This window comes from Homo sapiens, chromosome 12 (genome assembly GCF_000001405.40).
Source record: "Homo sapiens chromosome 12, GRCh38.p14 Primary Assembly".
NCBI classification, from domain to species: Eukaryota; Metazoa; Chordata; class Mammalia; order Primates; family Hominidae; genus Homo; species Homo sapiens.
The window spans coordinates 113,005,583-113,018,785 of record NC_000012.12 but is presented as its reverse complement, the minus strand read 5'-3'; the positions used below and the strand labels follow the sequence as shown (position 1 = coordinate 113,018,785).

The window sequence follows — 13,203 nt, the reverse complement described above, 5'->3', positions numbered from 1 at the left end:
GGATAATTTTTGTATTTTTAGTAGAGACAGGAGTTGAACTGTCTCTACCTGCATGTTGGCCAGGCTGGTCTTGAACTCCTGACCCCAGGTGATCCACCTGCCTCGGCCTCCCAAAGTGCCGGGATTACAGGCGCCCACCACCATGCCTGGATAATTTTTGTATTTTTAGTAGAGACAGGAGTTGAACTGTCTCTACCTGCATGTTGGCCAGGCTGGTCTCGAACTCCTGACCCCAGGTGATCCGCCTGCCTCGGCCTCCCAAAGTGCCGAGATTACAGGCATGAGCCACCACGCCCAGCCAATTTTTTGTAAATATTTTTCTAAGGTACTTTCGTTGTAGCATATCATGGCTTCAGGCCTCCTGGCACTGGGATTGTGGAGTGAGCTGCCATTTTCTTCCTCTTCCTCTCCGGGGCACAGAGACTGTCTGGATCGGGGAGGAAGAGAGGGGAGAGGAGAAACACGTGGGACTTTGGAGGTCTTTGAAAAGAGTTTGACACAGGTTGGGGCAATTGAAACCCCAGATCTCAGTCGCTGGAGCTGTTCTTTTCCTTTCTTTCTTTTTTAGAGACAGGGTCTTGCTCTGTTGACCAGGCTAGAGTGCAGTGGGTTGATCAGAGCTCACTGCAGCATTGAGCTCCTGACCTCAAGCAATCCTCCTGCCTCAGTCTCCCAAAGCACTGGGTTATAGGTGTAAGCCACTGCCCAGCCCAGGCCTGTTCTTCTCTGTTTACACTCACTTTCTAGGTTCTCTCTCTAGTGTCATGGTTTAAATACTAACTGTTTGCCAATGCCCAGTGATAGGGTTTGGCTCTGTGTTGCCACCCAAATCTCACCTTGAACTGTAATAATCCGCACGTGTCAAAGGCTGGACCAGGTGGAGATAATGGAATCATTGGGCCGGTTTTTCCCATGCTGTTCTCGTGAGAGTGAGTTCTCACGAGACCTGACGGTGTTTTTTTTTTTTTTTTTTTTTTTTTTTCGGAATCTTGCTCTGTTGCCAGGCTGGAGTGCAGTGGCGCGATCTCGGCTCACTGCAACCTCCGCCTCCTGAGTTCAAGTGATTCTCCTACCTTAACCTCCTGAGTAGCTGGGATTACAGGTGCACGCCACGACGCCCAGCTAATTTTTGTATTTTTAGTAGAGACAGGGTTTCACTATGTTGGCCAGGATGGTCTCGATCTCTTGACCTTGTGATCCGCCTGCCTTGGCCTTCCAAAGTGCTAGGATTACAGGCGTGAGCTGCTGCACCTGGCCTGACCTGATGGTTTTATAAGGGTCTTCCTCCTCTGGTCAGCGCTCATTCTCTCACCTGCCGCCGCCCTGTGAAGAGGTGCCTTCTGCCATGGTTGCAAGTTTCCCGAGACCTCCCCAGCTACGCAGAACTGTAAGTCAATTAAACTGCTTTTCTTTATAAATTACCCAATCTCAGATATGTCTTTATTAGCAGCATGAGAACAGACTAATACACCCAGTGTGGTAGACTGAATAATTACCTCCTCAAAATGTCCATGTCCTAATCCCCAGAACCTGTGAATATGTTACCTTATATGGCATAAAGGACTCTGCAGATATGATTAAGTTAAGAATTTTGCAGGGGGAGATTATGCTGGTGGGTTTGATGTAATCCCAAGGGTCCTTATACGAGGGAGACAAGACATAAGTGTCAGTAGTAGTAGATGTGATGAGGAAATTGAGAGGTTGGGGTGATGCCAGGAAGGGGTCGTAAACCAAGCAATGTGGGTGATTGCTCTGAGCCCCGCCAGGCTGGAATCAAGGTGACAGCTGGGCTGCCTTCCTTTCTGGAGGCTCTGGGGAGAATCCGCTTCCAGACTCACTCTTGTGGGTAGAATTCTGTTCCATGTGGTTGCAGGGCGGAGGGCCCTGTCTCCATGCTAGATGTTGGCTGGGGCTGTTCTTAGCTTCTGGAGGGTGCCATGTTTCCTGATCCATGGCTCCTTTCATCTTCAAACCAGTGACAGCAGCTCAGGTTTGTCTCCTGCCTCTTCTCCAGTGAATCTCTCTACCTTCAGCTGGGAAAGGGTCTCTGTTTCTAAGGACTCATGTGATTAGTAGGTTTGTGCAAAAGTAATTACAGTTTTTGCCATTGCTTTCAATTAGGATATGGACATCTTTGGGGGGCTATTCCTCTGCTCTCCTGTACCCCTTCTTGCCTCCCATGGGTTTAGTGGCATTTTCTCTCCTGCTGTCAGAAGGAATTGAGCTTCAAGTTCATAGTGGTCACCGGCTGGCCACCCCATTCTTCCATTATCCTAGCCATCATCCTGGCCAAATCCTCCTTTCAAACGGAGTCTCACTCTATAACCCCAGGCTGGAGTGCAGTGGCGCCATCTTGGCTCACTGCAACCTCTGCCTCCCGGGTTCAAGCAATTCTTGTGCCTCAGCCTCCCAGGTAGCTGGCATTACAGGAATGCCACTATGCCTGACTAATTTTTTTTTGTATTTTTAGTAGAGACGGGGTTTCACCATGTTGCCCAGGCTGGTCTTGAACTCCTGGCCTCAGGTGATCCACCCGCCTAAGCCTCCCAAAGTGCTGGGATTACAGGCATGAGCCACTGTGCCTTTTTTTGTTTTTCTGAATAGCAAATAGTTTATTGGTAAGTACATGGTTTTAATGGGAGTAATAAATGAATAGGAGACAATAATCAAGTCAAAAGAATAAATGCTTACCAATCATCAGAAAATCTGTGGCCATTAGAGCTGGCACGTAAAAACTCAAAATCACTCAGAGGCCAAATCTTAAAGAAGATTCGTCCTCTTATTAGTCGATATGGAATAGGTCCATAGTACCTGGAATCTGTAGAATTCTGTAGATTATCACCTTCTAACCAAACATGACCCACTGGCACATAACTACGGCTTTTAAAGAAATCTGATGGACTAGTGGCGAGGATTTTGTCTCCTTCCAATTACTTTTTTACAAATATTTGATTTTGGATCACTTGGGCTTTTTGCAATCACAATGTCACCTCTTTGAATACCGTACAAATGTACACCAAGATTTTCTGCAAAGACAGTATCTGAATTTTGAATGGTAGGCTCCGTTGGTGGTCCAGAACACATAACAACACCACCAATGTATTCAAAAGCACAATATAGCCATACTGAATAGCATAGCCAACAAGTCGAAAGCCTTTCCCCAGAACATCACAAAGCATAGTTCTAGGTAGACTCTGCCACCTTCGGCCTTGGGCCCTAAAGAACCCTGAAGACCCTCAACCAGGACACAGGTATGCCAAGGCCTTTTTATCTTGCTCTTTCAACTTTGGGATCTTTTCCCTTCTGGCCAGGGCTTCAGTTAAGCCCTTTGTGAGCCTTTTTCTCCTGGCTGAGCCTTGGCAAAGGATCTTATTTTGTAACCACCCCTGCCCCAAAGCTGAGCTTTTCCCCTTTTCCTGCCAATAACTCCCTGCCCTGCCAATTGGAGCCCCACATCCTCATTCCCTCAGGAACATGACGAGTTTCCCTCTGCAATTCCTAGCCTGGCCCTACAACCAAGGGACGCTGGCTTGGATACGGCACCTCTTTGAGGAACTCCATCCAAGATGAGCATGTGGGACACTGTTGCTTGGATGGGACCCTCCTGGTTGGGCTGAGTTGCTGGGATCCTCATATCCTGCTCTCCTTACCAGATTCTTCCCTCCAGGTCTACACAACACTCCAGTGCACCCAGCCCAACTCACATAGGGCAGTACCAGGCAAAGGAGAGCTTCCTTCCTCACCTTTCCCCTGTCTGAGGTTTATCCCAGGCACTGGTGCCAGTGAATGGAACCGAGGAGTGATAGCATCTTACCTGCTGCAATCTGACCAAGCTCAGCTGGAGGAGCCTCGGGTCAGAGCAGCCGAAGCCCTCCAGCATGCAGGCTCCTTTTATCCACAACCTCTCCCCACTGGTGACCTTGTTCGTGGTCGGTCACTCAAACTCTTCCTAAACTGCCCCCTGGGCCATTGGCCACTCACCATGAGCGTTCCTGCGTCTAATCATTGCTTCCTTCCTTTGATGTAAGTGGGGATCTTGTTGCTAGGGTAACCGGGGTCGAACTATAGGTCTGGGGTCTTGACCTTGAACTCTGCTTAACTGGATTCTTCTTAGGTTCTTGGCTCGTTTCCCTTTTGTGGTTAGGAGAATGCACACCCTTCCACATTTCTGTCCTGGTTTCTCCATATTTTGTTCTCTTTCTTTGAAGTCTGTCTGGCCTATACATTTTCTCTGGAATTTGCTAACTCAATTGTTTTGTTTCTCGTAGCCAATGTTGGTGTCAAATTTAAAAAATTGATTTGGCAAGAACACATAATGGATTGTGCTGTGTGCTCTGTACTGTCTCATGCCTGGAGGCACACCATGTTTGGCTGTCCCTTCTGCTAACACTGAGATTAAACTGTGGATTTGGTACCAGGAATGGTGGCTCATGCCTGTAATACCAGCACTTTGGGAGGCTGAGGTGAGAGGATTGCATGAGATCAGGAGTTTGAGACCAGTCTGGCAACATGGTGAAACCCCGTTTCTACTAACAAATTTTAATAATTAGCTAGGCGTCGTGGTGTGCTGTTGTGGTCCCAGCTACATAGGAGGCTGAGGTGGGAGGATCATTTGAGTCTGGGAGATTGAGGCTGCATTGAGCTGTGATTGTGCCACTGTACTCCAGCCTGGGTAACAGAGTGAGACCCTGTCTCAAAATTAAAAATAAAAAAATAAAAATAAACCCTGTGGATTTGGGAGGTGACATCCCCCCACCCCATTATAGCCTTCCCCATCATTTCATCTAATGGTTTCACCCATTGATAATCTCTGCCTAAATCATTTATTTTATTGTAGGTTGCAAAATTAAAGCCATCCTCATAGGGTTAACGTGAATTCTGGACAGAAATATTGTTGTAATTAAGCATTAATCATGCTGCACTTTGGTCCACTTCCTTGTAACTGAATGGCAGGAGCACTAGATACTGACCATTTACATCCCCATTGTTCCTATAGGATCTCTGACATTAGAATCATAAGGCTTTTGGCCAGGCACGGTGGCTCACACCTGTAATTCTAGCACTTTGGGAAGCCGATGCAGGCAGATCACCTGAGCTCAGGAGTTCAAGACCAGCCTGAGTAACATGGTGAAACCCAGTCTCTACAAAAAAATACAAAAATTAGGTGGGTGTGGTGGTGTGTGCTTGTAGTCCCAGCAACTCAGGAGGCTGAGGTAGGAGGATCAGTTGAGCCTGGGAGATGGAGTTTGCAGTGAGCCGAGATCACACTGCTGCACTCCAGCCTGGGTGACACAGCTAGACCCCTGCCTCAAAAAAACAAACAAACAAACAAACAAAAAAAAACATAAGGCTTCTGTTTAAGAATTGCTTAAGATGTTCTTCTGATCCTGAGTTCCAGCAGAACAGCTGATGGCAACCAGTTTGAAGACCCCAACAGAGGCACTGAGTCGGCAGTACTATGAGAACACAGTTTCTTCCTCTCCCTGTCCCATGACTTCACGCTGCACTCTTCAACCAATCAACGATCTCCACACTTTGGCCCACTCCCAAACCCTTAAAAACCCTAGCCCCCAACTCTTCAGGGAGGCAGATTTGAGGTTTCCTCCTATCTCTGCATTTGGCAGCCCTACAATGAAACCTCTTTGTCTGCTGCAACCTGGTGTCTCAGCCTATTGACTTGCTGTGTGCATAGGGCAAGAAACCTATTACGGTTACAAAATGATGATGTTTCTAATTTGTCATCTTTTAAACATTTATTAAATGGAATTCTTCCGTAAAAAAAATAATAAAATTTCCTCGTCAGTTATGGCTGCTCTTTTAATCCTGAAATACAGTTTGTATAAGAAAGGCCGGGTTTAATTATTGCCTATTCAGGGCCATTTGTTGCCAATTTTCTTAGAAAGAATTGGTGCCCTAGCTACTTCCAGTAGTGACCCATGACTGCATGTTTCTTGATTACTGTGAACATTTTATTCTCTTTGCTCTTAATGAGTTTAAATGTCTACTGAGTGCTGAGAAGACATTGATGAGAAAAACTGAAATGGTCCTGTTCTGCATTTGTATGGCTTTGAGCAGCTCACCTTTTTCTTTATGGTCTTTCTCATCATATACATCTCACTTGGCACGTGTGGTAAACTGCCCTTCATTTTTCTTTTCTTTTCTTTTCTTTTTTTTTTTTTTTGAGACGGAGCCTCACTTTGTTGCCCAGGCTGGAGTACAGTGGCGCGATCTCGGCTCACTGCAACCTCCGCCTCCCAGGCTTAAGTAATTCTCCTGTCTCAGCCTCCTGGGTAGCTGGGATTGCAGGCATCTGCAACCATGCCCAGCTAATTTTTTGTAGTTTTAGTAGAGGTGGAGTTTCATCATGTTGTCCAGGCTGGTCTCAAACTCTTAATCTCTAGTGATCTGTCTGCCTCGGCCTCCCAAAGTGCTGGGATTACTGGTGTGAGCCATCAAGCCTGGCCCTTCATTTTTCTTTAAGGGATTTAGGGCTATGTGTTCCAGTTCCTCCAGCCAAGCCCTGTGAGGATGGGGACAGCGTCTCACAGTTTCTGCTTCCGTGTTTCCTGCCTATGTATCTAGTGCAAGTTTGGGCATCCAGAAGGCCCTGGTAACTAGTTGTAGACTGAGTAGATGTGTACTTAAAGTGGTCATTCTTTCATTAAATGTTTTTTATCATTTAAAAAACTTTTTAAAAATTATTTTTGCCTTTTCTTCTCATGCTTGTTTCCTGTATTCTTCCATTTTTCAACATCTTCATATATATTTCTTTTGCCTGCATCCTGGACAAGAGTAGTGGTGCATTCCAACACCTAATCTGTGACACCAGCTGACTGTCCTGCAATTTAAGTCAAGTCTGGCACTGACTACCTGGAATGTGTGTAGATCCCACAATTTAAAGAGCAAGGTCCTCACCAAGTCCACCCTTCTTTCAGACTCCAGCCATACATGGGGTCCCCAGGCTACCCACACCTCTGTCCGACTTGGTTACAAACTTGGGAGTTTCCATGACTTTCCTTCAGTTTTGATAATTTGCAGAATGACTCATAGAACTCAGGAAAATGCTCTACTTACAATCACCATTTTATTATAAAGAATACAAATGAAGAGCCAGACAAAGAGTATGTAGGGTGGCAAGCACTGGAAGGGCCCAGAGCTCAGGAGCCTTTGTCCCTGTGGAATCAAGATGCGCTACCTTCCTAGTACATTGGAATGTCTGCCAATCAGGAAGCTCCCCAAGCCTCACTGTCCAGAGTTTTTATTGGGGTTTCTTTACATAGGCAGCATTGCTTAAATCACTGGCCATGTTAAAATTGAACTCAATTTCCAGCCCCATCACCTCCTTGGAGATTGGGGGTGGGATGGGGCTGAAAATTCCAATGCTTTAACCACATGCTTGGTCTTTCTGGCTTGGCCAACTCCTTCCTTGAAACTAAGGGCCCACCATGGGTAACCTTGTTAGCATAAACCCAGGCATGGGTGAAAAGGGCTTGTTATGAATACAAAAGACACTCCTATCAGGAAACTCTAGAATTTTTGAAGCTGTGTGCTAGGAACTAGGCACAAAATCCAGATACATTCTTTATTGTATCACAACTGGTATATGCAACAGTGATAAAAGTTTAAGTGAGGGTATGTGAGGTTAAAGCACCTAGACCTTCAAGTATCTTTAAGGCTAAAGCCCAAGGAAAAAGTCTTTTGATTTGGCAAGAGGATACTCCTGGGTGGGGGGGAGAAAGGCAGGCTCAGAAGGAAAAGACAACAGCCTCATATAAATATGACAACAGTTATAATCTGAGCCTTTGGAGAGCTTGAAGTTCTAATGAAAGGGTTGGCTGGCTGCTGGCATAGAGGATGTCTGTGTCAGCAGGGGCAGAAAGGGTTTTGTATACAGAGGAAACAGACAGGACGTGGATGAGTTGGAAGCACCGAGAGCAAGATCACAGAGTTATGAGAACCAAGGGGAAAGTAAAGAGCTTTGCTTTGAAGACACAGAGGATTCCTTTTTTAGACTGGAAGGAAAAAGGAGGAGCTAATTGGAAAAATACAAGAAAAAAAATACAAGTTGACAGAAATAAGATGCACATAAAGTGGATGACAGCAACTATTTTTAAAGGCAGGCTGCCTGCAGAGAGGGAGTTCAGCAAGGCAAGACTTTATGAAAGGGTTTGCAGTCTTGATTGATTTCAAGAAGTCCAAGAAGCAAGGGAAGGAGGAATAGGGACCATCAAGGGAAGAATGGATGTGAGTGACTCTTTCTCACGGTGAGCCGAGTCTTTAAAAGCGATTGCCAGATGATCTCTAGAAGTTTCTTTTAGAATTATTATTCAGGATTCTATGGCTTCTGGATGAGAACATCTCATTGACAATAGGATGGATCCTAGCTCCACAACTTCCTGGTGTCTGCATTGTCTAAAAAGAAAAACATACGTGGGAGAGCAATGTCTCCTAATAGTTACAATCATTGCTTAAAAGAGTTAGGGGAAAAAAGGGGGGACCTGTATCTGGGAAGGTAACTATTGCCAGAGACAATTTTTTGGTATTTATTTATAATGCATATCTTAATAATTAGAGCTAACCCCACGGTTGGCTTGGCCACCTCTTCCCTACATTCCCCCCAGGGTTGGGGTGTAGGGTTCCTCTAGTGCAAGGGTTCTCACCTAGGGCAGAAGACACATGATAAAGTCTCAAGACACTTTTAATTGTCACAACTGGGTGGCATCTACTGGGTACAGGCCAGAGATGCTGCTCAACATCCTACAATGCACAAGAGAGCCTCCAAACAAAGAACTGTCTAGCCCCAAATGTGAGTAAGTATCAAAGTTGAGAAATCCTGCTTTAAAGAAAGAACCTGGTGGAGAGAACCAAGTATATCTGGAGGGAGGATATCCTGGTGGAATATATCAGGTATATCTTGGTAGGTAGGGAGGGCTTTGGAGAGGTGTGGCAGACATCCTTGGGTGGCCAGTGCAACCCACGTCCACAGTCATCTTTGTAGCCACCTTCAAGTTACAGGTAGCCACATGACATTTCTGAGCAATGAAATGGAAGAAAATTTGCGGATGAAACTTCTAATAAAATCACTGTGTTCTTGACCTTTGGGTATCTTTTCCTTCTTCCTGCTTGGATTGCAAACCTGCCATCTGGAGGCACCGTGGCCGCTTTCAGGGCCATAAGTACTCAAATTAACAGCTAAAGAGGGTGGAGCCAAAAGCCAAAGGCAGAAAGATCTGTGAACCCAGGGGAACGTTTGACAATGTCTGAAGACTTTTGGTTGTCACTGGGAGAGGAGGGCTAGTGGCATCTACTGGGTAGAGACTAGGGATGCTGCGCAGCACCCTACAGTGCATGAATCTGGGGTTACCTGCCTGAGGATCACTTGTAGTGGGGGCTTAGGGGGCTGACCAGCTGTTTAAGCTCCTGTGAGCTGGGTTTCCTTTATTTGTGTCTGAGTTAATTTCAGGTTGCTACAGTAGGAGAAGTTCTTTGATTCAAGCCTGTTACAGGGCTATTTCCAGACAACGCCTCCTTTAGATGACTTTTACCGGCACTTTCCAAGGTGGTATTGGGTTTCCAGTCCCATCCTTGAAGCAGGGAGAGGATAACCATTCCTTTGCTTCTTTTGCCAGAAGATGCCAACACCAACGGTCCCCTCCACCCACGTCACCTGTGGGTTCGGCTGGGTCCAAGATCACAGGCCTGAATGAGAGGTTAGAAGGCATTAGGAGATTCCAAATCCCAGTGACTTCAGAATTTGGGGTCCATCCTATAATACTTTCAGCAATAAGACAATGTGTTCTTACAGCTTAGATGTCAGCAACTCAAATTTACTAGTAGGGTTCAAAGTAACTTTCTAGAGGCCGCGTGCAGTGGCTCATGCCTGTAATCCCAGCACTTTGGGAGGCTGAAGTGGGAGGATCACTTGAGGGCCAGGAGTTCGAGAACATCCTGGCCAACATGCAGAAACCCCATCTCTACTAAAAATACAAAAATTAGCTGGGCGTGGTGGTGCGCACCTGTAGTCCCAGCTACTTCGGAGGCTGAGGCAGGAGAACCAGCTTGAACCCGGGAGGCAGAGGTTGCAGTGAGCTGAGATTGTGCCACTGCACTCCAGCCTGGGTGACAGAGTGAGGCTCTGTCTCAAAAACAAAAACAAAAGCCAAAACCAAAGCAACTTCCTAGAATTAAATTGTATTTGCCAAAAGCGTTTTGAAAGCTGTTAATTGCTATACTCATGAAGGCATAATGAAGGCATAGTCTAAATATCTCCTCCTTGCTATGTCAGCTAAAATATGATACATAATTTAATCAAATACAATGTTGCCAAGAACCCAGGGTAGGCAACCCACCGGGGGTCTCCTTCTCTCTTACTTCTCCTCTATTCTTTTTCAACGCTCCTTTATTTTCTCTCTTTCCTTTCCTCTGGTTTCCATTGTTTTTGTCCCTTGCTGGTGGCCCTAAGCAGATGGATATGATTTCTTACTATTCTTGAAGGTCTGAAAGAGTAGATAAACCCTAACCCAATAAAAACCCTGCAGGATAAATCGGCCCGTGAATGATAGCGTTAATTCTTAGGGACACACTTCCAACTCTAACACCTCTTAGATGAAAGCAGCTCAGGGACGTGGTATCTTGAACCTTCCTTCTCTATTTTTTCTGAACAGCATTTTCTCCTGCCCCTGCTAGGTTTTATCCCTGGAGACTGTGACAGGTTCTGTTGGCTAGCACTTTCCCCCGTCATGCAAGGAATGAATCGTGACCCCAGCAGAGGAAAATCCAGGTTGCTGAGACAGTGTTCAAGGGAATCAGGTTAAGAAAAGTACGGGGCTAGGGTGAAGGCACCTGGTTTTCTGCAACTGGCTCAGTAGAAACTTCCTCACGGTCTCATCTTCAAAGTTGTAATTGACCTTCCAGAAGATGCAGAGCTGCTGATATTGTGTGACCAGCTCCAGGACTGTCCGGAAACCTTCTGCAGTGTCAAAATCCGGCACTCCACTCCCCTGCTCCCAGGCATAGATGGTGAGCAGCTCCAAGGCATACTTTGGGGGCAAAGACCCCTTTGGCTTCAGTTTCCTTTCACACTAGGTAAGAGTGGGAACATCAGACGAACTGGTTAGCCTAGGAGCTCAGTGAGAGCCGCACAGGGACCACAGCAAGGCAACTGAGTCACAGTGTCGTGCTGGTGTGCTCACACTCTGCAGCTTGGATGTCTAAATTGTACAGCCTACAGGAGTCCACCTGGCAGCAGCACATTTGAGTTTCTTTGTTGTGCTTTTGACCATATATGCCTTCCTAGGACAATAACATAGCTACAGTTTACTAGAAACCCACTGCATGCCAGCTATGGGCCCAGGCATTTACCCACATCATTCCTAATCTTCCCCACAATGCAGGCAGCATGACCTGCATTTTAGATGAAGACTTTGAAGCTGCGGGAAGTGGAGTGACTCACTCAAGGTCACGCCACAGCCCCAAGTCTTCTGACACGCCATGCCAGCTCTCTGATTTTCTGGGATGAAAACTACAGAGTTTGGTCTTGGTTTCACATTTCAGGGAGCTGGACACAGAAAGGAGGCATCTCAGGAAGAGCTGATATCGTGCTTGATGTTTACTGTCATGAGGATGTTCAGAAGCTACTTTGTGTGCAAGTGAGGGGAAACTGGGTAGAGACTAGGGATGCTGCTCAGCACCCTACAGTGCATGAATCTGGGGTTACCTGCCTGAGGATCACTTGTAGTAGGGGCTCAGGGGCTGACCAGTTGTTCAAGCTCCTGTGAGCTGGGTGTATAGAAAATGCAGCCCCGGTTCCACCTACAGCTTCAACCTGCCTTCTGAGAGAGAGCATGTGCGCCGGGAAGCAGAAAAGTCCTATTGGCAATGTGTGGGCATGTGAATCCCAGCTTCCACCCACCCTCTGTAGGCAAGGTCACTTGGATTCCTGCAGAATTCTTTGGCCAGTGTGAGGGCAAAGTAAACCACATGTAGCAGCTTTGATGGGCAGAAGCCATCAACGCCTGACCCAAATGAATAGGGTTAGTGATGGGAACGTCGTAAAGATATCCAGTGGGCAGATTCTCCAAAGTGGCTCAGCCCTCAGCATGGGAGATTGTGGGCAACAGGGCTTAATGTTCATGGCTTACTGGTAAAAATAATAACCCCATGGTCAGAACAAAGACTGTCCTTACCTCTTTGTACCAGTGCTTCACCAGGCGAATTAAATCCTTTAGTTTGGTGGGCCGGGAGCGAATGAAGTTTCGCTGCAGGACTGTGAAACAGGTAGAAAACTCTCCTCCCGGGAGGTCCGAGGATTTATACAGATCAATGAGCCCTGCATAAACCTCGGGGCTGGGTGTGGAGCCAGAACTCAGCTGACCTGGCATGAGGGAGAGATTGACATCCTGCTTTAATACACATAGTAAGTAACAGATTCCAAAACATTTTTGACAAATATGATTTAATTCTTGGAAATTACTGTGAATAGTATTAGCATATTTAAAAGACTGATGTCTAAGACACAGGGAGCATCTCCAGAATAATGAGATATGTAAAAATTATGTGGTCTACACAGGTGCAGCTGGTATTATTAAAGTATTATCTAGACTTAAACTAACAGAGCAGCCACCAGCAATGTGGCCATTTGCACTCACATTCATTAAAGGGAATGAAAATTAAAAATTTAGTTCCTCAGTTGCTGTAGCCACATGTCAAGCTCTCAGTAGTTGTAGAACCCAGACATAGAACATTTTCATGATCACAGAAAGATCTCTGGGACGACACTGATCTGGACTTTGTGAACTACCGCCCCCTGGGCTAAATCTGGTGCGCTGCTTCTTGTTTTTTTTTTTTTTTTTTTTTTTTTTTTTTTTTGTTGTTGTTGTTGTTTTTTGCTTTTTTGAGACAGAGTTTTGCTCTGTTGCCCCAGACTGGAGTGCAGTGGCATGATCACAGCTCACTGCAGCCTCCATCTCCTGGGCTCAAGCAATCCTCCCACCTCAGCCTCCTGGGTATCTGGGACTACAGGCGTGTGCCACCATGCCTGGCTAACTTTGTTTATTATTTATTTATTTATTTATTTATTTATTTTTGGGATGAAGTCTCACTATGTTGCCCAGGCTGGTCTCGAACTCCTGGATCAAGCAATCTTCCCGCCTCGGCCTCCCAAGATACTGGGATTACAGGTGTGAGCCTCTATGCCCAGCCCAA

The 13,203-nt window shown here is 46.1% G+C and overlaps 1 protein-coding gene and 1 pseudogene across 2 annotated transcripts in view, besides 3 other annotated features; both read right to left on the bottom strand.

Moving 5' to 3' along the window:
• Positions 2,598-3,253, bottom strand: IMMP1LP2 (inner mitochondrial membrane peptidase subunit 1 pseudogene 2; annotated as a pseudogene).
• Positions 7,063-13,203, bottom strand: part of OAS2 (2'-5'-oligoadenylate synthetase 2) — a 33,205-nt gene continuing 27,064 nt past the window's right edge. Inside the window, exons 8-11 of one of the 2 annotated variants that reach the window (NM_016817.3) lie at positions 12,186-12,373; positions 10,843-11,081; positions 9,546-9,699; positions 7,063-8,412 (exon numbers count right to left, since the gene is read on the bottom strand). In NM_016817.3, the coding sequence (NP_058197.2) occupies positions 8,302-8,412; positions 9,546-9,699; positions 10,843-11,081; positions 12,186-12,373 (692 nt within the window). In that variant the 3' untranslated portion in view covers positions 7,063-8,301. Of the gene's footprint in view, positions 9,700-10,842; positions 11,082-12,185; positions 12,374-13,203 lie in introns of both variants that reach the window. The other variant, NM_002535.3, reaches the window with a different exon arrangement.
• Positions 8,935-9,104: an enhancer, noted in NCBI's record as "experimental_24568 CRE fragment used in MPRA reporter constructs". NCBI's record gives its function as "activates a minimal promoter by MPRAs in K562 erythroleukemia cells, with activity observed for both the introgressed and non-introgressed 12:113447572 variant alleles {active_cell/tissue: K562}" and the evidence as "EXISTENCE:reporter gene assay evidence [ECO:0000049][PMID:34662402]".
• Positions 10,851-12,050: an enhancer, noted in NCBI's record as "BRD4-independent group 4 enhancer chr12:113444541-113445740 (GRCh37/hg19 assembly coordinates)". NCBI's record gives its function as "activates an origin of replication core promoter dependent on BRD2, P300/CBP, MED14 and CDK7 cofactors, and independent of BRD4, by STARR-seq in HCT116 cells {active_cell/tissue: HCT116}" and the evidence as "EXISTENCE:reporter gene assay evidence [ECO:0000049][PMID:35650434]".
• Positions 12,483-12,652: an enhancer, noted in NCBI's record as "experimental_24567 CRE fragment used in MPRA reporter constructs". NCBI's record gives its function as "activates a minimal promoter by MPRAs in K562 erythroleukemia cells, with activity observed for the introgressed 12:113444024 variant allele {active_cell/tissue: K562}" and the evidence as "EXISTENCE:reporter gene assay evidence [ECO:0000049][PMID:34662402]".